The 22174-nt window shown below is 53.8% G+C and overlaps 1 protein-coding gene across 59 annotated transcripts in view, besides 2 other annotated features; it reads right to left on the bottom strand.

Annotated features, from left to right (window-relative positions):
* The window catches only part of TANGO2 (transport and golgi organization 2 homolog), a 50142-nt gene continuing 35911 nt past the window's right edge, over positions 7944-22174 (bottom strand). For 7 of the 59 annotated variants that reach the window (NM_001322163.2, NM_001283179.3, NM_001322167.2 and 4 more), the window contains 3 exons: positions 13425-13578; positions 11666-11770; positions 7944-10566 (listed from right to left, as the gene is read on the bottom strand). In NM_001322163.2, coding sequence (NP_001309092.1) covers positions 10446-10566; positions 11666-11770; positions 13425-13578 — 380 coding nt within the window. In that variant the 3' untranslated portion in view covers positions 7944-10445. The other 52 variants (XM_017028580.2, XM_017028579.2, XM_047441118.1 and 49 more) reach the window with 25 other exon arrangements.
* Positions 8500-9000: an enhancer, noted in NCBI's record as "H3K4me1 hESC enhancer chr22:20053631-20054131 (GRCh37/hg19 assembly coordinates)". NCBI's record gives its function as "activates a minimal SCP1, AML or CMV promoter by ChIP-STARR-seq in naive H9 embryonic stem cells {active_cell/tissue: H9 hESC(naive)}" and the evidence as "EXISTENCE:reporter gene assay evidence [ECO:0000049][PMID:30033119]".
* Positions 17050-17550: an enhancer, noted in NCBI's record as "H3K4me1 hESC enhancer chr22:20045081-20045581 (GRCh37/hg19 assembly coordinates)". NCBI's record gives its function as "activates a minimal SCP1, AML or CMV promoter by ChIP-STARR-seq in naive H9 embryonic stem cells {active_cell/tissue: H9 hESC(naive)}" and the evidence as "EXISTENCE:reporter gene assay evidence [ECO:0000049][PMID:30033119]".

Here is a 22174-nt window from a genome sequence, read left to right as displayed (position 1 = left end):
TACAGGCGCCCACCACCATGCCCGGCTAATTTTTTGTATTTTTTTAGTAGAGACGGGATTTCACTGTGTTAGCCAGGATGGTCTCGATCTCCTGACCTCGTAATCCGCCCGCCTCGGCCTCCCAAAGTGCTGGCATTACAGGCGTGAGCCACCTCGCCTGGCCTCTGTTTACCTTTTAAATAATTGACCTTGGAAACAAAGATTTTTGTGTTATATCAAGATAGTTCCTTGTTCTTCATATTGTCTTTTATTAGGTTTTTGATTACTTAAGAAATGTGGCTGGGGCCAGGCGCAGTGGCTCACACCTATAATCCCAGCACTTTGGGAGGCCGAGGCGGGCGGATCACGAGGTCAAGAGATTGAGACCATCCTGGCCAATATGGTGAAACCCCATCTCTACTAAAAACACAAAAATTAGCTGGGTGTGGTGGTGTGTGCCTTTAGTCCCAGCTACTCTGGAGGCTGAGACAGGAGAATTACTTGAACTCAGGAGGCGAAGCTTGCAGTAAGCCAAGATCGTGCCATTGCACTCCAGCCTGGGTGACTGACACTCCGTCTCAAAAAAAAAAAAAAAAAATTTCCAGAACTCTTTTTTTTTTTTTTTTTTTGAGACATAGTCTTACTCTGTCACCCAGGCCAGCATGCAGTGGTGCAATCTTGGCTCCCTGCAACCTCTGCCTGCCGGGTTCCAGCGATTCTCCTGCCTCAGCCACCCAAGTAACTGGGATTACAGGCGCCCACCACCACGCCCTGTTAATTTTTATATTTTTAGTAGAGACAGGGTTTCACCATATTGGCCAGGCTGGTCTCAAATTCCTGGCCTCAACTGATCTGCCTGCCTTGGCCTCCCAAAGTGCTGGGATTACAGGCGTGAGCCACCACACCTGGCCAGAATTTCCAGAACTTGAATGAAGACACTGAGGGGTTCGTGAAACTGCTGATCAAGATCAAACAGAACAAGAATAAATTACATGGCAATGAATAAACCAATTACAATTATTTATTTATTTAATTTTATTGTAGAGATAGGGTCTCACTATGTTGACCAGGCTGGTTTCAAACTCTTGGCCTCAAATGATCCTCCCATCTCAGCCTCCCTAAGCATTACAGGTGTGAGCCACTGTACCCAGCCAGGATAATTTTTTTATGTTTTGTTTGAAACATTGCTGGTTCTTTAATGTTTTGTTTTCCAGATTTAAGGAAACTTTTTTTTCTCTTTTAAGTTATCCATAGCTTACAGCAGTTTGGTAAAGTATGCCTTTGTAAACAAAAGTGAAACAATTACTTTTTCTCTGTACCTTATCCTTCCATAATTCGGAAACTATTCATGAGTATTTTTATTTTAATGGCAATATGGTTATTTACATAAGTTCAGTAAGAACCTGTTCTCTTTGTAACAGGACACAATTGGAAATGCTGTTTATATTACCAAAGCTTTGACTAGAATGCCATATTTTTAGCTATGGCCAGACAACTTTAAGTAACTAAGATGACTTTATGGAACCAATAAAGCCCTTGGGGAAAAATGGGTTTTAAACCTTGAATACATGGGTCATGTGGTTGCCTTGTAGGTGAGTAAGGAAAGTCACTTCCTGACAGGCCCAAGGATGTCAGGATATTTTGGGGGACCTCAAAAAGAGAGGAATTCACCCAAACCTATAATGATTGCAAATGAAGTATGATGGTGAAGCTTCGGCTTGGCTTCCTAGCCTGGCAAGGCTTTTAAAAGCCCAATCTGAGATGCCTTATTAAAAGTCCTAGCAGGCTGGGCACGGTGGCTCACGCCTGTAATGCCAGCACTTTGGGAGGCCGAGGCGGGCGGATCACGAAGTCAGGAGATCAAGACCATCCTGGCTAACACGGTGAAACCCCATCTCTATTAAAAAAAATACAAAAAAAAATTAGCCGGGCATAGTGACGGGTGCCTGTAGTCCCAGCTACTTGGGAGGCTGAGGCAGGGGAATGGAGTGAACCTGGGAGGCGGAGCTTGCAGTGAGCGGAGATCACGCCACTGCACTCCAGCCTGGGCGACAGAGCGAGACTCCGTGACAAAAAAAAAAAAAAAAAAAAAAAAGTCCTAGCAAAGGAAACTTAAAGAAAGCCTATGTGTTCAATCACTATTGTTGCGGCACTTATGTAAGTAATTAGGCCAAGTTTAATCAACCTAAACTTAGCTACAAACAAATTAGTCTTACTTCAACATCTTTGATAGAAGTGGGGTGACTATATAGAGAAAAATTAGTTTCAGAAGAAAACTATAGTGCACCCATTATCAGATTCTAGCCCTGTTCATTGTTTTTGAGGTTTTGATATTTACCTACAAACTGGATTGGATCCTGAATTCTTCTAGTTTCCTCCAATATTTGATTTTCTCTAAACTGATGTTTCCAGTTTTTTTCCCACCCTTCTGGCCTGGAACCGCTAAAAATTAAAACTTCCCATTTCCTGAAGCCCTTTAAGCTGAACCCGGACAACTTGATAGAAACTTTAGGCCAGGCACGGTGGCTCACGCCTGTAATCCCAACACTTTGGGAGGCCAACGTGGGCAGGTCACGAGGTCAAGAGATTGAGATCATCCTGGCCAACATGGTGAAACTCCGTCTCTACAAAAATTACAAAAATTAGCTGGGCATGGTGGTGTGTGCCTGTAGTCCCAGCTACTCTGGAGGCTGAGGCAAGAGAATCGCTTGAACCTGGGAGGCAGAGGTTGCAGTGAGCTGAGATTGCGCCACTGCACTCCAGCCTGGGCAACAACAGCAAGACTCTGTCTAAAAAAAAAAAGAAAGAAACTTTAAGATGGCACCACAACAGATAATTTGTGGGCAGACTTCATGACACGCAAACTGCCGTCCATGATAGTCTGTTAGCCCCTACTCCATCTGAAGATGCTTCAAGCACAGCACCTGGAAATCTTGAGTAGCTGCCCTCTGAACTCAGAAACTGAGTTTATAGTTGGTTCCAACTAATATCTTTTTCTTTTATCTTCAACATGCAACGCCTGATGGCTCACACCATGGAGGATATCTCCTCTACTGCCGGTCCCAGCAGATGATTCAGCTGGCCTTTAATGAACAAAAGGCAGCCCAGCAAGGAAATGGACTCGTACTATTCAAGGAAAGATAACCTCTTCTTTCCTTGAACAAGAGGAGGGACCGACAAAGATTCTTTGCTTGGCCAAACCAGGCTTCTGAACCTTCTTCTAGGCCCATCTGTGCACTTCCTTGTAAATTTCACTTAGAGCAAGAACCCTGCAAAGTCACTTTAGCAAGAAGCATCCCCTGACCCTCGACATCTGATCACCCTCCTTATCTAATCCGTTCCTACACTGTCCCCCAGGTGAAGATGTCCGGTCACTGTGGCCTGTCTTCAGCAAAAATCCTGTTAATTGGTGTAGCCAGAATCTCCCTCACCCGGGGTGTTTCTTCTTAGTCATTTTCCATGTGCTGACCCAGCTCCCACCGCCCTGCTCCTCAGCTATCATCAGTTCCCACTTGCCCATTCGGACTTGAGCTTAATCTCTCTCCCCCACTGCAGAATCTCATTCCTGTGGTCCCTAGACCTAGCAAGACGGTCCTGAATAAAGTCTTCCCTACAGTGCTTTAGCAAATGTCATTCAGTAATTCTTTCTTTAACATTATCAGTGTTAATTTCCTGGTTGTAATCATTTTTCTGTGATTGGGTGCGGCATTCACATTTGGGGTAACTGGGTGAAAGACACTAGAATTTTTTGTTCTACTTTTTAAATCCTTTAGTAAATTGAAAAAAAAATTTTTTTTTTTGAGATGGAGTCTTGCCGTGTCACCAGGCTAGAGTGCAGTGGTGCCATCTTGGCTCACCGCAACCTCTGCCTCCTGGGTTCAAGCGAGTCTCCTGCCTTAGCCTCCCAAGTAGCTGGGATTACAGGCACCTGCCACCATGCCCAGCTAATTTTTGTATATTTTGTAGAGACGAGGTTTCATTTTTTTTTTTTTTTTTTTGAGACGGAGTCTCACTCTCGTCACCCAGGCTGGAGGACAATGGCATGATCTCGGCTCACTGCAACCTCTGCCTCCCGGGTTCAAGTGATTCTCCTGCCTCGGCCTCCCAAGTCGCTGGGATTACAGGCAGGTGCCACCATGCTCAGCTAATTTTGTATTTTTTGTAGAGACAAGGTTTCTCCATTTTGGTCAGGCTGGTCGCGAACTCCTGACCTCAGGTTATCTACCTGCCTCAGCCTCCCAAAGTGCTGGGATTACATGCATGTGCCACCATGCCCAGCTAATTTTGTATTTTTCGTAGAGACAAGGTTTCTCCATTTTGGTCAGGCTGGTCGCGAACTCCTGACCTCAGGTTATCCACCCGCCTCAGCCTCCCAAAGTGCTGGGATTACAGGCATGAGCCACCACGCCTGGCCATTGAAATCATTTCTAAATGAAAAAGTTTAAAGAAAGTGGGGAGAGGAATGTTGCAGATGACAAAGCTGTAGGCCTGCACGGGCCTCCCCCACCACTTCAGCACCAGACACCTCACAATGGGCTCCATGCCCTGGAGGGTCTGGGTCCAGGACTCAGCTAGGGGATGCCAGCCTCCCTGTGGCTGGGCCAGTCAGACCCCAGCACATGGCCATTCAACCAAAGCAACCTCTCACACTTGGTTGATTGGTGAGTTGGAGGCTCCAGTGGCCCCTGTCAGACTTGAGACCTCAGACCTGCCCACCACAGCCAGTTTCCCACACAGCCTGGGACTGACTGGGTGACGGAGAAGGATCCTTACCATGGAACTAGCCAGGTCCAGCCCCAGGGTTGCAAAGATTGATGATTGGAAGTTGGGACTCCAGCCCAAGCTGGGGGAGGATCCTTTCCCCTCTGGGCTCCTGTGTTTCCACCTAAGCCCGGCTCACCCATGAGCCAGGCATCTGCTGGCAGATGAGAACAAGACGTGGTCTCAGGAAGTCTGCAGGCAGACCAGGAGCCCAGGCCTTCAAGGATGAGACCTGAGGCCATGCCGCATTCCTGGCCTGGCCATGTCTGTTCATAGAATTGCCTCCACGTTAGCCAGCCCCATGCCTCCAGACTCTATGTCTACACAGCTCACCTTGGCCATCTCGGGGCCAGAGGGCAGAAGCAGCTTATGTTGGGAAGGGGCATCTGAGAAGAAGGTGAGTTCCCCATCTGCCTGGGAGAAAGAGACCCATGCTGGGGACTCAGGGATCAGGTGCATCTGGCAACAAGCACAGAGGACTGGCTGGGCAGTGCCAGGAAGGCCATTGTCCAGGCCCAGCCATTCCTGGTGTCACGTCCAAAGCTCTTCTAGAAGGCACTGGCTTTGGACCCCTATACCCTCTATTAGCACAAGGGCCTTGCATCAAGGGGTTGGCCCAAATAGATGGGGGCTTGGGAAGCACCAGCACTGTCATTCTTGGCTCAAATGCCTGCCTGGCCTGGGCATCAGAGTACAGTAGTGGGCAAGAGAAGGAAGGTCCCTGCCTTCCTGAAGCTCCCATTCTGATGGAGACAGGCAAGAACCAATCCTAGCACACAGCATGCCAGATGGTACGTGCTCATTGCCATAGAGAAAAAGAGAGTTCCTTCCTTCCTTCTTCCTCCCTCCTTCTTTCCTTCCTCCTTCCTTCCTTTTTTTTTTTTTTTTTTTTTTTTTGAGATACAATCTAGCTCTGTTACCCAGGCTGGGGTGCAGTGGTACGATCTCAGCTCACTGCAACCTCCGCATCCCAGGTTCAAGCAATTCTCCTGCCTTAGCCTCCCGAATAGCTGGGATTACAGGCATCCGCCACCATGTCCAGCTAATTTTTGTATATTTAGTAGAGATGGGGTTTCACCATGCTGGTCAGGCTGGTCTCGAACTCAAGTGATCTGCCCACCTTGGCCTCTCAAAGTGCTGGGATTACAGGTGTGAGCCAAAGTGCCCAGCCTCCTTTTTAATTTCTTTTTTCTTTCTTTCAAGATGGGGGCTCGCTGTGTCGCACACGCTGGAGTGCAGTCGTGCAATCATGGCTTACTACAGCCTCAAACTCCTGGGCTCAAGCGACGCTCACACCTCAGCCTCCTAAGTAGCTGGGATTACAGGTGTGTGCCACCGTGCTGGGCTAAACTGAAACTTTAAATGAGTTGCCTGCCCGAGACTTCAGTAAAGACCTGCAGGAACTGGGGGAAGAGTGTGGTTTGGGTATCTGCAGGGGAACTGTGAGCACAAAGACCCTGGGGTGGGAGCTGTGCAGAGTGTGTAGCTGTGAGCTGAGGGTATGGGGGTAGGCCTGGGCAAGTAAGGTGAAGCGGGGAGCAGTGCCAGACATTGTGGGGACACCAGCATGGGAAGACCATGGATCTGTGGGGCAGGCACCCCCAGAGATGCCACCTTGTACTCATCCTATTCTGTCCTGGCCCATGGTTCTGCCTCTCCACCTGTCTCGGAACCGGGGGGCCGTTATGGTATCTCCCCAAGCCGCAGTTCCTTCATCTGTAAAGTGAAGATCACTACTGTGTTAGTCTGTTAGGGCCGCCTTAAAAAAGCACCACAGTCGGCCGGGAGCGGTGGCTCACGCCTGTAATCCCAGCACTTTGGGAGGCCGAGGCGGGCGGATCACAAGGTCAGGAGATCAAGACCATCCTGGCTAACACAGTGAAACCCCGTCTCTACTAAAAATACAAAAAATTAGCTGGACGTGGTGGCAGGTGCCTGTAGTCCCAGCTACTCAGGAGGCTGAGGCAGGAGAATTGCTTGAACCCGGGAGGTGGAGGTTGCAGTGAGCCAAGACTGTGCCACCATACTCCAGCCTGGGTGACAGAGTGAGACTCCGTCTCAAAAAAAAAAAAAAAAAAAAAAAGCACCACAGTCTGGGCTCAGTAGCTCACACCTGTAATCCCAGCACTATGGGAGGCCAAGGTGGGAGGATCATGTGAGCCCAGGAGTTTGGGACCAGTTCAGGCAACATGGTAAAACCCCGTCTCTACAAAAAATACAAAAAATTAGCTGGACGTGGTCGTATGCACCTGTAGTCCTATCTACTCAGGGGACTAGGTGGGAAGATTGCCTGACCTCAGGAGGTGGAGGCTGCAGTGAGCTGTGATCTTGCCACTGCACTCCAGTCTGGGCAATGGAGTGAGACCCTGTCTCCAAAAAAAAAAAAAAAAAAGCATCACAAATTGAACCACTTAAGATAACAGACATTTATTGTCACACAGCTCTGGATGCTGGAAGTCCATGATCAGAGTGACAGCAGGTCTGCTCCCTCTGAAGGCTCTAAGAGAGGCTCTGAAGCAGGCCCCTCTCCCAGCTTCTGGTGATGCCTTGGCTCGTGGAGCAGAATTCCAGTCTTTACACGGTGTTCTTCCTGTGCGCGTATCCGTCCGTGTCCAAATCTTTCTTTTTCCTTTTTTTTTTTTTTTAAGAGACAGGGTTTTTCTCCATCATCCAGGCTGAAGTGCAGTGGTGCAATCACGGCTCACTGCAGCCTCCACCTCCTGAGCTCAAGTGATCCTCCTACCTCAGCCTCCCAAGTAGCTGGGACTACAGGTGTGTACCACCATGCCCTGCTAATTTTTTAATTTTCATTTTTCTTTAGAGATGGGGTCTTGCTATGTTGCCCAGGCTAATCTGGGCTCAAGCAGTCCTCCAGCTTTGGCCTCCCAAAGGGCTGGGATTACAATGTGAGCCGCTGCGCCCAGCCCAAATCTTCCTTTTTTGTTTTTTTGAGACAGAGTCTCCCTCTGTTGCCCAGGCAGAGTGCAGTAGTGCAATCTTGGCTCACTGCAACCTCTGCCTCCTGGGTTCAAGCGATTCTCCCACCTCAGCCTCGCACTACAGGTGTGAGTCACAATGGCCAGCTAATTTTTGTATTTTTTTTTTTTTTTTTTGGTAGACACAGCGTTTCGACATGTTGCCCCAGGCTGGTCTTGAACTCCTGAGCTCAAGCAGTCCTCCTGCCTCAGCCTCCCAAGGTGCTGGGATTATAGGCATGAGCCACTGTATCCAGCCTAAATGTTCCTCTTTTTATAAGGATAGCCGTCATATTGGATTAGGGCCCACACTAACGACCTCATTCTACCTTGGTTACCCCTGGAAGAACCCTATCTCCAAATGCAGTCACATTCTGAGGTACTGTGGGTCAGGACACTGATATATCTCTTTGGGGACACAACTCATAACACCAATAGAATCACCATTGAGGGCTGTTCTTCCTTAGGGGCCTCAGGCTGCTGGGGAGCCCTGGGCAGGGTGGGGGCAGAGGGACCCACACAAGAGCAGAGACTGCTCTTCCTGGGCAGGCCGGGTCTCTGGGCAGAGGTGAACATCCGGGGGGCTCTTCATGAGGGCAGGGCACCATCCAGGTTGGGGACTGGCACTGGTCACCGGCACAGGACATGGTAGCCACTGGGGCAGGTGAATGTGTTGGCAGCAAGGGCAGTGCCCCCAGCCGGGAGCCTGTTGTCCTGACTCAGAGGACACGTATGGGATGTGGGGCCTCAGTTTCTCCTCAGGCCTGGGGGTGCAGCCTGGGTCGCAGCTGGGAAACTCTTCTGAGTTCAAAGTGAGCCATGGAAGGCTCTGAGCCCAGCAAAGTGGTCTGGGCAAGAAGGGGAAGAGACGGGGAGGCCCCTGCTCCTCCCTAGGTGGACTCACATCATGTCACAATCAGGCTGGGAAGCCCTGGCGCAGGTCCACACCCACCCTGCACTCTCATGGGTCTGAAAAGGCCAAGTTAGGGGTTGGGTGCAGAGGCTTAGAAAAGTCTAGGTCTCAGCATTGGATATCCGGGACCCCCTTATACTCGGCCAGGCTCAGGGATGAAGCTCCTTAGAGCTGGCCCCAAACCAGGAGCTCCTGGGGCTGAGACAGATGCAGACCTGCTCTCCTGCCCCTCCTACCATCCCCTGGCCCCCATCATCCAACAGAAGTCCAGGCCAGCCTGCCTCCCGCTCCAGTGGGGCCTCCATTGCGACCTGATAGACCTGTATGGGTGGCTGGCCCCATAATCAGCATCTACCACATCCCACGCGCATGGGGTCTCTCACAGCGGCCCCTGCCCATGGACAGATGGACTGACCCACAGGCATCCACATGTGGTGCTGAAGAAGCCGTGAGGAAAGGGGGAGGTGGGAAGGGCCTCGTCCAGGGTGTCTGGCTGCACAGGAGACATAGCAGCTCCCACTGGCACCCTGCATACAAGGGAAAGGCCTCGAAATGCGCTCACCAAAGCCTCAGAGTTTTATTATCAGGAGCTCACATTCAGGTACAGATTCCTATGAAGTTTGCCTCACCTGGAGGGAAGAGGGAGAGAGCAGGGCTGGCTGAGATGGGGCTGCCAGAGGCATGGTCTCCAGCTGGGTAAGCGGGATTCTGAGAGCCCCTGGTGCACACGGAGCCTCCTGGCACACACAGGATTGTCTCAAACACAGAGGACCTCTGGCACACTCAAGGGCACTGAATCTAGCAATGAGTCTGCACTTCTGTTATGAGAGTGGGTTTTTCGGCCAGGCGTGGTGGCTCACGCCTGTAATCCCAGCACTTTGGGAGGCCGAGGCAGGTGGATCACCACGTCAGGAGTTCAAGACCAGCCTGACCAACATGGTGAAACCCCGTCTCTACTAAAAACACAAAAATTAGCTGGGCATGGTGGCACACGCCTGTAATCCCAGCTAATCAGGAGGCTGGGGCAGGAGAATTGCTTGAACTTGGGAGGCGGAGGTTGCAGTGAGCCGAGATCGTGCCACTGCACTCCAGCCTGGGTGACAGAGCAAGACTCCGTCTCAAAAAAAAAAAAAAGAGAGAGTGGGTTTTTCTCAGGTCTTCTCGGTGCCCAATTCCAAATGTGGCTGTCTCCTCTGCAGGAGCAGGTCTGCTTGTCAAGAGTCCAAGCACGCCTGTGTTCTGTGGCCACAGGAGAGGAGGGGCCGCTTTTAAATACAAGCCTACTCCTGTCGTTGGACCAGAACAAAGACCTACTGGCCAGAAGCACATGAGAGGTGAGAGTCGCCCTTCTGCCTTGTTCGGCATCGTGTGTGTGCACCTGTGTGTGTGTGTCTGTGCAACTGTGCATGTGTGCACATGTGTAGCACACCTGTGCACGTACATGTGCCTGTGTCGGTGTCCATGTATATGGCTTGCATGTGTGTGCTTGTGCACACGCAGGAGTGTATGTGTGTGCCATGTGAGTGCCTGTGTACATGTGCAAGAGTGGGCTCAGGTGTATCCACATGTTCATGGTATACCTCGGCCGGTCCTAGACCTAGTATCAGACTCTGCTGCTCCTCACTGGCATAAAGGCAGACCCTGAACTGGGCATGGGGACACAGATGGGTAACACGCAAACCACAGGGCCCTGATCCGGGGGATGCTGGCCAAGCCACGGGCAGTGCAATGCAGTATGGCAAAGGAAGGTTTCCTGTCCACAGTGCCCCTCAAGGCAGGGCCCCCCAGGAGCCCACTGGCCAGGCCCAGAGGTGGGGTTAGCTCTGCAGTGTGAACTCATAGGTTCTGGTCTCCCAGTGGGAGAGGTCCTTGTCCATCATGCTACGCTCAGTGAAGGTCACGTGGCCGTCCGCATCTACCAGGATGATAGTGTTGGTTCTGAAAGAGAGCAGGGGCCCTCGTTCACCTGGTGTCCCTCAGCCCTGCCCTGCCTGTCACAGCCACAAATAGGGCAAGAATGCAGGCAGGTAGAGTTAGGAACCCCATGCCTGGAGGCTGTGCCAAGTCACAGAGAGCAGCAGCCTCAGTCTTGGGGATGATGAGGGGCCATCAGTGGCGTGTGAGCTCTTGGCTGGCTCCACAGGCCCACACTTGCTGAGTCCTGCCACCTTCACTGGGAACCACCCCACCCTGCCCTGCTCTCCCCGTGTAGCATGAGCCAAGGCATAGGGCAGCCTGCGGGCTGACCACACACTTCCCCTTTGGAGGCCCAGGTTCCCAGACACAGCCATGCTTGGTTCTTCCAAGAGGTCAAGCTGTTGACCACTTGGGGCCCAGGCCTCCTCTGTCTGGAAGGCTTCCCTCCTGTGCCCTCTCTTCCACTGCCCAGGCCATGCCAGCCCACCTGAAGCAAACATTCAGCACACTCTCCTCTCCTCCAACCCTCTCTGCCGTGGGCTTTGCAGACGGAGGGTGGCCCTGGATCCCCCAACAGCCCCAGCACAGGCTGGTTCCCAGGGCAGACACATACGCAGTGCACCCCGTGGGGTGGGACCCAGCGGCTATGCGGCCTGCCAGGGAGTGGAGTTGGCACTTGCCTTCCCCTCACACACAGGAAGATGAGCCTATGACAGAGGAGGGGCTGAAGGAAATGACACCCTGCACCTGCCAATGGGCCAGCCAGCCCCAGGCAGGAAAGGCTGGCCAGCAGCCACCACCCAAGGGTACAGCCTGCAGGCCTAGTGCCATGGTGCCGGGGCGTTTGCCCGCAGGGATCCACCAATGTGCAGGCAGCCCTGAAGCCATCCTGGCCCTGTGTGGCTGTGTACTGGCTCCTTAAGCCCAGCCTGTGGGGCCCCGGGAGCCTGTGGTATCTGCTCACCCTGCAGCTGCGTCTGGACAGGGCAGAAGCTCTGGAATCCACTCAGGCGAGGAAGAAGCCTGGCTCTGGCTATGGGCACTTGGCTTCTTTGCCGGCCCTCTAGCGTGGGAGGTGGGACATGGGATAGGAGGTGGCGCACCCACGGTGCTGCAATACCTGGTGCCGTAGCCAGGGCAGCGCACGCACACAGCCGCGTACTTGCTCAGCATGGGCTGCACGTACTCCCCACCCTGGTCCTCGATGGCCGGGTCTGGCAGCTGCCTGCAGGATGGAGAGAAGTGGTGGCCATTAGTCCCTCTGTGGCCCGCCCGCAGCCGGGTCTAGCCCCAGCCCACCTGGTGGCCTAACTGGCTCTGGGGAGTGGCCGGGGAACTGCAAGGGTTGTTTCTTTTCTTCTTTTCTTTTTCCTCTTCTCTTCTCTTTTCTCTTATTTTCTTTTTTTGAGGAGGAGTTTCACTCTTGTCGCCCAGACTAGAGCGCAATGGTACGATCTTGGCTCACTGCAACTTCCACCTCCCGAGTTCAAGCAATTCTCCTGACAGAAGTCCACTCAAGCCAGCCATTGTAGCTAGCATCGGGGCTCCAGCCGTCAGCTGGGATTACAGGCGTGCACCACCCAGCCATCTAATTTTGTGTTTTTAGTAGAGACAGAGTTTCACCATGTTGACCAAGTTGGTTTTGACCTCCTGACCTCAGGTGATCCGCCCACCTCGGCTTCCCAAAGTGCTGGGATTACAGGCGTGAGTCACACACCAGGCGTGTTTCCTCCACGTTTCTGCTCAAGGCGGAAAATCTCCATCTACCCTTAACTTATGACTCAATCGTGGAGCTTTGGCCCCAGATGGCACATACAAGCTCCCTGCCTGCCCCAAGAGGTGCCCTGTGGGCATTTGCCTCTGTGACAGAAGTCCACTCAAGCCAGCCATTGTAGCTAGCATCGGGGCTCCAGCCATCAGTGAGGGCAGCCAGGGCCGGTCCTCGGCCTGCCCCAGATGGCACATTGATGGGGGCTGTGTGGACTTACAGCTGGGAGGGGCTGCTGGGCATGCCCAGGTGGGGCTCTTCCAGTGAGGCAGCGATGCTGAGGCTGAAGGACGAGGCCGCCTATCAGAGGCCCAGAGGAGAAGGAGGGTAGGCAGGGGGCAGAAAGGGGCCCCAGGGGGAGGAGTGGGAGATGGTCCATGGGTGCTTCTCTGAAGGGGGCAAGCTGGACAGGGTGGGAGTGGACGCTGGATCACCTGGGCAGGGCAGTGGTCTGACCTGGGTGGGGAGCGAGGGATGGGTGGGGCATCTCGCCCAGTGGGAGAAAGGCTGGCATGGCAAGCACCAGGACCCCCGGCTGGGGCAACGAAGACCCCAGTGCCTGGCCCCTGAGGGGCCTTGAGGCCTACGGGCAAGGAAGTGGGTGGGAGCTCCTACACCCAGGCAGTTCCCGGAACTGCAAGTCCCTGCCCAGCACTCAGCCCAGGGTCGCTGGGGACAGACCGCTTGCGGGAAGCCCATCAACCCTGAGCGTGCTGACCCTAGCCACTCATTTCCATGATGTGTCTCTTCCGCCTGGGTTTGCTGAGTGTCTAGAATCTTCTGGAACTTCCCACAAGCTCTCGGCATGCAGAGGGGAGCATCCATCTGCTCTGGGCCCCACGTGGCTGCATCAAGCCTCTGGGTGCACTGAGCCTCCCCTGGGCCTGGGCCTGGGCCTGGGCCCATCTTCTGTCATCAAAAGTCCCTGGTGTTGGAAACCTCAGCTGGCTCAAGGGGACAGGCAGGGAGGACAGGATATCCATCAGCTTCCCTGCAGCTGGGGACCCAGCCTGGCCACTTCCATGGGCCTCCCGGGGCAGCAGGGCCTGCCTTTCCCTCTGCCCTGGTGGCGGGACACTGGGGCTCACCCCAGCAGGACCCGCCCACTCACGCCTCTTCATTGTTGAGCACATCCAGGAGGCTGGCGATGAGCACATCCTTGGGCAGCGCCTGGCTCCGTTCCACAGCCTCCAGGAAGAGCTGCTTCCCAAAGCACAGCTTCCTCCAGGGAGTCTCCAGCAGCGCGTTGCTCAGCCCGTAGGTGCCTGTGAGGAGCAATCAGCGGGCCATGCAGAGGCCCTGCTGTGCCATGTCAGGGCAAATTGCCACCTGCCACCCACCTAACACGGGGTACAGCTGGGGACCATGAAATCAGGCCAGACTGAGGCCAAGCCGCTCCATGCTCCAGCTCCTTCCCCATGCTCATTCCTGACCTGATGGCATGGCAAGGAGAGGAGAACTCAGCAGTAGGCGGAAGCGGGCACCCACAGGAGACCACAAGGCACAGATGCCCAGCAGCCTCGATGGATGGATGAATAAGAAATGAGCAACCTGAGATCTCACAGGCAAAGGGGACAGCCAAGAGGGAACCTCTTCACCTCACGCCAGGTTGGGGGGCCACCTGAGAAGTTCAAGAGTGGGAGAATTAGCCACCAGAGGCCAGGAGGCACCCACCACAATCATGTCCCTGTTTGGGGAACCCCCAACAGCGCCACACAGTGGGCACAGGTGTAGGCTGGGCCTCAGCAGAGCATGGCCCACCTCTGCGTACCAGCCAGGCCCCAGGTTAGGAGAGCCGGGGGGCTCTGCACAGACTCTGAACAAGCTCCCAGAGTGTTGGCAGAAGGCATGGCCAACAGGAAAAGGGTTTCTCATGTCACAGAAAGTGAAGGGCAGGGACTTGAGGTGGAGAAGCACCTCACCTCAGAGGCTCTTCTCTAGAGGCCAGGGCAGCAGGGGTGGGCTTGATGGGAGCCAAGCACCCCAAATGATGCACCAGGGAGACCAAGACACCACCCTCTCCCTGTCAGACTTCCAGGAGAATATCTTGGCCGAGGCATTTCCCAGGGAGACAGCCTGGCTCTGCTGGGGCCCCCAGAGCCAAGCCGCCAGCCCCAGGTGTCACAGTGCTTTTTCCATCATGAACAACATGGAAGACCATTGAACTGCATAGTCATGGGCAAAGAAGGGAGTTGGACTCTACCTGACACCATACACAAAAGTTAACTCAGGTCAAGAGAGGTGGCTCACTCCTATAATCCCAGCACATCGGGAGGCTGGGGCAGGAGGATCACTGGAGCCCAGGAGTTCAAGACCAGCCTCGGCAAAATAGCAAAATAGTGAGGCCTTATCTCTACAAAACATAAAAGTTAGCTGAACATGGTGGCACACATCTGCAGTCCCAGCTACTTGGGAGGGAGGATCTCTTTTTTTTTTTTTTTTTTTTGAGACGGAGTCTTACTCTGTCGCCCAGGCTGGAGTGCGGTGGCGCAATCTCGGCTCACTGCAAGCTCCACCTCCCGGGTTCACGCCATTCTCCTGTCTCAGCCTCCCACGTAGCTGGGACTACAGGCACCCGCCACCACGCCTGGATAATTTTTTGTATTTTTAGTAGAGACGGGGTTTCACCGGTTTAGCCAGGATGGTCTCGATCTCCTGACCTTGTGATCCACCCGCCTTGGCCTCCCAAAGTGCTGGGATTACAGGCGTGAGCCACCGCGCCCGGCTGGGAGGATCTCTTAAGCCCAGGAGGTTGACAGTGCAGTGGGCCATGACTGCACCACTGCACTCCAGCCTGGGTGACAGAGCCAGACCCTGTCTCAAAAAAAAAAAAATAGTTAACTTAAGTCAAACCAAAGACCTAAGTGAAAGAGCAAAAGCTATAAAACTCTAAGAAGAAAGTATTGGGGAAAGCTTCATGACCTTAGATTAGGCAATGGTTTCTTAGATAAGAAACCAAAAGCATGAGCAACAAAAGAAAAAAAAAGAGAGAGACATAGGACTTAAAAATTTTAAGCTTTGTGCTTTAAATAAGAGACTTGTAGCTAGAATGAATGTATAAGTCACTCCTATAACTCAAAAAGACAACCCAGTCTGAATAACCATTTCTCCAAAGAAGACATACAAATGGCCAACGAGCATGAGAATAGCTGCTCAACATCATAGCCATCAGAGAAACGCAAACCAAACCACGAGTCCACACAACTTCACACCCACTATCGTGGCTATCATCAAAAACACAGAACATAGCAAGTTTTGGTGAGGATTCAGAGAAGCTGCAACCCGCATACACTGCTGGTGGGAATGTATAATGCTGCGGCTGCTTTGGCAAACAGTTTGGATGTTCCTCAAAAGGTTAAACAGGGTTACCATACGACTTAACAACTCCATTCCTACGTATTCACATGAGAGCCATAAAAACATATGACCACACAAATGCTGTGAGGTCACACTGTGAGCAGCACTGTTTCCAACAGCCAAAAGGTGGAAAAAACTCAAGTGTCCATTAATGGATAAAGGGAAGAAACAAAAAGTACCAACTGGCTCGAGGGTTCAGGGCAGCTGTCTCAGCAACTCCCTAAATTCCTACAGCTACAAGAAAAACCACAGTCTTGATAAACTCCCTCACAACAGTAGAGATCACACACGTTATCAGACCCTCCTAACTCTTGACAGCCCAGACCACCACAACCCTGACTGGACAGAGAACCAGCCTTCAAACACTCTTTTCTGATAAGCAACTACAGACCATAAGCCAGTTTCAGCAGTTCATAGAGGCTGCACTCCAACTGTGTCCTAGAGCTCACCTTCTGATGGAAAGATCCAGATTCTACCTCATTTTAATGCTAAAACCCTGCCCCAAAGTGAACATGGGATGTATGTTACATGTATGTTTATCTATTGCATATGTTCTCGGGTCCCCTCATAAATATGTATGGCTTTTCCCCAAACCTGCTGAATATGTATGACTCTATTGTGTGATATGGACCTTGGGAGGCATAAAACTCAAACTGCCCTTCCCCTCTTCAAAGAGAGCACCTCAGTCCATGCTAGAGACTCTCTCTTCCGGGTCTGCAAACTGATATGGCAAATAAAACTCTCCTTTCTATCATTTAGCCATGCTGGTGAGTTTTTCTTTGTTTTTTTTTTTTTTGAGATGCAATCTCACTCTGTCGCCCAGGCTGGAGTACAGTGGCGCGATCTCAGCTCACTGCAAGCTCCGCCTCCTGTGTTCACGCCATTCTCCCGCCTCAGCCTCCCAAGTAGCTGGGACTATAGGCACCTGCCAACACGCCCGGCTAATTTTTTGTATTTTTAGTAGAGATGGGGTCTCACCGTGTTAGCCAGGATGGTCTCGATCTCCTGACCTCGTGATCTGCCCGCCTTGGCCTCCTAAAGTGCTAGGATTACAGGCGTCAGCCACCGTGCCTCGCCACTGGTGAGTTTTTAGACGACAACACTAAGTGAAAAAAGTCAGTCCCCTAAACTACATATTATAGGATTCCCTTTATACAAAGTGTCCAGAATAGGCAAATCCAGAGACAGAAAGCAGATTAAAGGTTGCAGGCGCTGAAGAGACGGGGAATGGGGAGTGGCTGCTGACAGGTATGGCTTTCTTTGGGGATCAAGAAATGTCCTGGAATTAGGTAGTGATGACAGTTGCTCAACTCTGTGAATGAAACGAAACCTACTGAATGATACACTTTAAATGGGTGAACTGTGCCGCTAGTCAGTCATATCTCAATAAAACTTTATCAAAAAAAAAAAGGCAATGTGGACCAGGTGGGGCAGGCTCAGGGATGAGGCAGGATGTAGACAGAAATAAGTTCTACAGAACAACAACTGAGCAGAAAATAAGCATCTCCAGCCACGGAGGTCTCAGCCTCTGAGAACCGAGGATGCCACGTGGATGGTTACAGCGACTGCCCCAGAGGCCGCTGGGCCAATGTTCACAGTGAGGGGGTGGTAGGGAGTCTCTGACTGCTTTTGCACCTTTTAGTTTCCAATTCTCTCCTGGGCAGTCACAGGCTCAGCATGGCCCAACTCCACTGCCACAGACCTACTTCGCCACACATTCCAACCCCACGACCCTCAACTGATGCGGAGGTTCTGGGGCAGGTGGAACAGCAAGAGCTGGCTGAGACAGCCAGAACAATCCTTTGCAAGCTCAGGACCTTCTGGGGCCACATCCCTGCCTCGCTGGTAGTCTCTGTGTCTGTGCCACTGCCCAGCTCTTGGGAGCTCAGGTGGGCTGCCCACAGTTGTATCCAAGGTAGGGAGGGGAAGACCAGGGTCACAGAGGGTGGCCGGAAGGATAAGCCCCAGGTGGAGGAGAGGGCACCAGCTGGTAGGCGTGGGGGCAGTGGGTGGGACACACTGGAAGCCACCCTCCAGGCAGATGCCTCCTCTGGAGATCCCAACTAGCCCAGGGGTTCGGGTCTGGGCACCACCCTAGCAAATGGGGGCTGGGCCTATCTGTGGATGAAACATCACTGGGCAGACGTGGGAAGCTGGAAGCCAGCTCCAGTGTGGGCCAGGCAAGGACCACAGGACTCATGATGAGCCCGTCAGCACCACCAGCCCCCTAAGATGCAGGTGGGATGGGGCCACTCAGCTGTCCTGGGGACTGCTTATCATCTCCCTCGGGCCCCTCCAGGGACGCCTGGGGCTTCAGTTCCACCGTGTACACCCAGTGGGAAGGTGTGCACCTGTGACCTGCAACCTCACTTGGTGATTTGTGCCAAATGCAAAAGAAAGTCTGTGTGACGTGGGCATGGAGCTTCAGAGGAGCCAGGGGTGTGAGGGAGCCCCCTCACAGAGGGGTGTGGGTGGCGCTAAGGGCACTGACACACTCCCCAGGCGCCGGAACACCCTGTGTGAGCCAGCAGCTTGAGTAGAGGGACCAGAGCGGGCGTTTAAGGCACAGAGTTCCACGATGCCACCAGCGAGGAGTGTCTGTGGGCAGCGAGTGTGGGAGTGAGTGAGCCAGCAGTCCCCGGAACCTAGGCTATGGTCCCTACAGTTTTGTGCACCCAGGGGAAATGCCATTTCCCAGGAGTGCTGCTTTGTCCTGGCACCAGACCTGGGACAAGATGCAGACCTCCCTCCCAGAACATGGCTGCAGAGGGGGGCAATGTGACACATTCTCTCCAGGTTGGGGCACTGGCAGAGGAAGCTTCCAGGAAATCGCAGCACCCGAGGAGGGGGAAAGGAAGGGCATGTAGCAGGAGGCACAGCCTGGGCAGTGGTGCAGAGCCAGGGCAGGAAGGGCCCAGCCGTGGAGTGTGACCTGGCGCAGAGGGGCTCGAGGCCCTGAGGATGGGGACCGGGGATCAGACTGGGGACTGGGTGCAGGAGGCGTGCATCTGTGTGGGGCTTGAGTGGGGTGTGTACTTGTGCGTCAGGGAGCAGACCAGGCAAGAACCCCAGGTGGTGATGGCTCCAGAGGTTCTGAGAAGGAACAGGCACAGGGCACACTGGGACGGCACAGGAAGTGAGGCTGGGGGTGGCCGGCTGGGCTGCAGGGCTGCGGTGGGAAGCCCAGAACAGGGGCGCACCTTGCTCAGCAGGAAAAGCCCATGGGGAGGGGGTGAGCAGGGAGCCAGGGCTCTCTGAAGTGTCCAGGTGCAGGGCAAGGTGCCCACAGACCATAAGGCACTTAAATGGCCACAAAGTCATCTCAGAAGAGTAATATGACAAGTGCCTGGTCTCTAAAAAGCACAAGGGTGACCTCTGCATAGAAACAGTCCCCCACCCCATCAGGCTGCCAGGGCAGGCTCACCTGGCGTCAAAACGATAGGATCAGGCTCCCCTCGGTTCCCATAGTAGCAAATGACGTCTCCCTTTGCTGTGCTGCAGGCCAAGGGGAGAGAATGTCAGACTACAGCCATAGGGCGTCCTCCCCGACACTGCCCGGTGATCTCACAGCCCTGTTTCTGGAGGCTAGCGATGTGCGCAGTAGCCCGCTGCGGCCAGGTCAGGAGCTTGCAGGACCCAGCCCCTCAGGTGCCTGGCAGGCGGGGTCATGGAGGCCCCAGCTCTTGTCCAGCATCACGGGTATGTTCCCAGCTCACCTCGGGGCCCACCAGCCCAGGAGGCACAGGATCTAAAATGCCCTCCTGCCATGCCGAATGCCCCATGGCATGGACACACAGAGGCTGCCCATGGGGACAACTGCAGGGCTGAGCCCCATCCCCACATCACCAACCTCTCCATCAGGCCCCTTACCACAGCTCATCTATGAGGGTTTCTGGACAGGTGGCCCCAGTGTGGCCCCAGGGTGATCGAGGCTTCCAAAGAAAGCGCCAAAGACCACATTTTCCTACTCTCAAGTGTTAAGTGTACACTTTAAAATAGTTAAGGGACAGTAGAGCTGGGCATAGTGACTCATGCCTATAGTCCCAGCTAATCTGGAGACTAAGGAGGGAGGACTGCTTGAGGCCAGGAGTTTGAAACCAGACTGGGCAACATAGCAAGACCCCATCTCTACAAAATAAATAAATCATTTTTTAAAAAGAAAATAGTTCAAAATGCTCCCCAGCTGAAAATATTCCAATCCTCAATACCACAGTAAGTCTTCTAGAACTTGGAGTGCCTTTTTTGCAAAGTGAAGAGGATCTCTTTGTGGCCTGTGAGATGCCCTCCCAGGCCAGATGCTGGGCATGGAGCCCTGGGCCTTCAAGATGGAACAGATGCAGAGAAAGAGCCAGGCATGGTGCCTTCCTCCCCGAAGTGCTGCCCCCAGGTGGGACCCACCTTCCCCACCCCTGGTAGGCTTCAAGGGCCCCCCCGTCTATGTTCACATTCCACTCCCGTTCTTCCTCACCATGGTCTTTGGCAACTTTCCTAAGATACTTGGTTCATAATTTCAGAGACTGTTTGCAGGCAAAAATCTCCTCTGGGCTTTCTGTGTAAGGACCTACAGAACTGGACACCCATGCTGCCAGCACTATACCACAGGCCAGGCGGAGGGCAGGCCTCACCCAGGGATAGCTGTGGCCATGACAAGCCTCTCTCCCTTCCAGGCCTTGGCTTCCTCATCTGCACCTACCAGCAGGGCTGCTCACTGACCTCCGATGCCCCCGCCCTCCAGCCTCGGCCCTGGCACCAGCTTTTGCCTGACCTGTGGTATGCTCTCCTGGCCACTGCCTGTATCCTCAGGCTAGGTCCAGGAGGCTGACCCTCACTCTGCAGCCTTTGGAGCCGGGAGAGTTGCACAGGCTCTGAGGAGCCCAAACCCCCAACCCCCAACCACAGGAGCCCGTGTATCTGCTCAAGGCATGGCACCCTTGGCACCCCACCTCCACACAGCTGCTGAGTGCCAAGTCCTGCTGGTGCCACGGCCGCAGAGGAACTCTCCTGAGACTAATCAGACCCACATGGAACTACTGACCGGGAAAAGTGGTTCCTGAGCATGGGGGCATGCAGAGAGCACAGGGGCTCTGCCACCTGGAGTCACGAAGGCATGGGCAGGAAGAACGGCTCCGGACAGCAAGTGCCCCGCACCAGCCCTCGGCCTTCCACCTAGGGGACACTGCAACTCTCCCAGCCTCCATAGCAAGTGTGCAGACCCATGTGGGGCAGGGCTGGGCATGCCACACACAAGGGATGCTCAACGAACAGCAGGCCTGGAGCTCGGGAGCCAGGAGAGAGGCCCATGGACCTGCCCTTGTGGAAGGAGGCAGCTTCAGGGCCCGCCACAATGTGCCGACCACTTCCCGTTTGCCTGTCCTGGCAGAAGGCCCCGGACTAACAGCATTGGCCAAGTTCTGGGGCTTTGGAGGGGGAGGAGGGCAGGAGGGAGGAATGCTCACTTCACGGAAGGGCAAAACACCAAAACCTCCGCAGTTCCTGCGGCCTCATCTCCAACAGGAGCTTCCCTGGGAGCACAGCATCCCAGTCACTCCAAGCCAGGGCTGCGGAGGGCTGCTCTGCACAGCCTGCCCGTGGGAGGGAGGACACCCGGCCAGAGCCACTCTATGTGACTGTTCTTCACAGCCTCAGCTTTCTCCAGGGATCCGGCAGCCCTCATGCCATCACAGGAAGCCTTGGGCTTCACCCCCAAATACCCGAGTTGGTACATCTGTGACAGGCTCAGTCCTCAGAATGTTTGCCAAGTCACGAGGAGCAACGTCCCTGGAGAGGCTGCCACAGCCCCCAGTGGAACCCCACTTCCTGATGAGCCTGAGGCCTGCCCCCGAGGCAGTGCTGGGCAGAGCCGCCATCCCCCTCTGGCAGACCCACCTCAGGTCGGCTGCTATGAGGTTGAAGCCATTGTACAGATGGCCCTCCATAGAGACCTTCTTCAGGTAGGACAAGCTGTCCACGTCAGTGGTCAGAAAGTGGGTGACAAGTTCACCTGTAGGCAGGGGACAGATGCTGTGTCCACAGCTGCAGGCATGTGCTCTTCTCCCAGGAACACTGATATGGGGCCCCCTGGGGAGGATGCAGGAAGATGAGGGGTCCCACTGGAGCCCTGGCCTGTCATGACTGCCGCAAGAGTCAGCCACACCTCATTAGCCTGGCTGCCACTCAGGTCGGCACTGAAAACTGCTCATTTTATTAAAAAAAAAATTTCCCCACTATGTCTTCCTATGGAAATCCAGCATGAAGTAAACAACACCTTTCAGTGGGGACAATGTGTGTCCACAGAGCTGTCGTCTCGGGGAAGGCATCTACTCTACAAACATTCCAGGCAGGGGACAGTGACACAGCAGTCAGGAGTGCCATGCATGAGGACAAGGGGAGAGTGCGCCCTGAGAGGAGTAAACAGTGCTGCGTGGGTCAGGTGGGAGTGGGCTCCTGGCTGCGACGCCAGAGGGCCAGGGTGTGGGAAATGGGATGCTCCCCTCCTCACTCTTC

This window comes from Homo sapiens, chromosome 22 (genome assembly GCF_000001405.40).
Source record: "Homo sapiens chromosome 22, GRCh38.p14 Primary Assembly".
Classification (NCBI taxonomy): Eukaryota; Metazoa; Chordata; class Mammalia; order Primates; family Hominidae; genus Homo; species Homo sapiens.
This window is presented reverse-complemented; position numbering and strand designations above follow the sequence as displayed.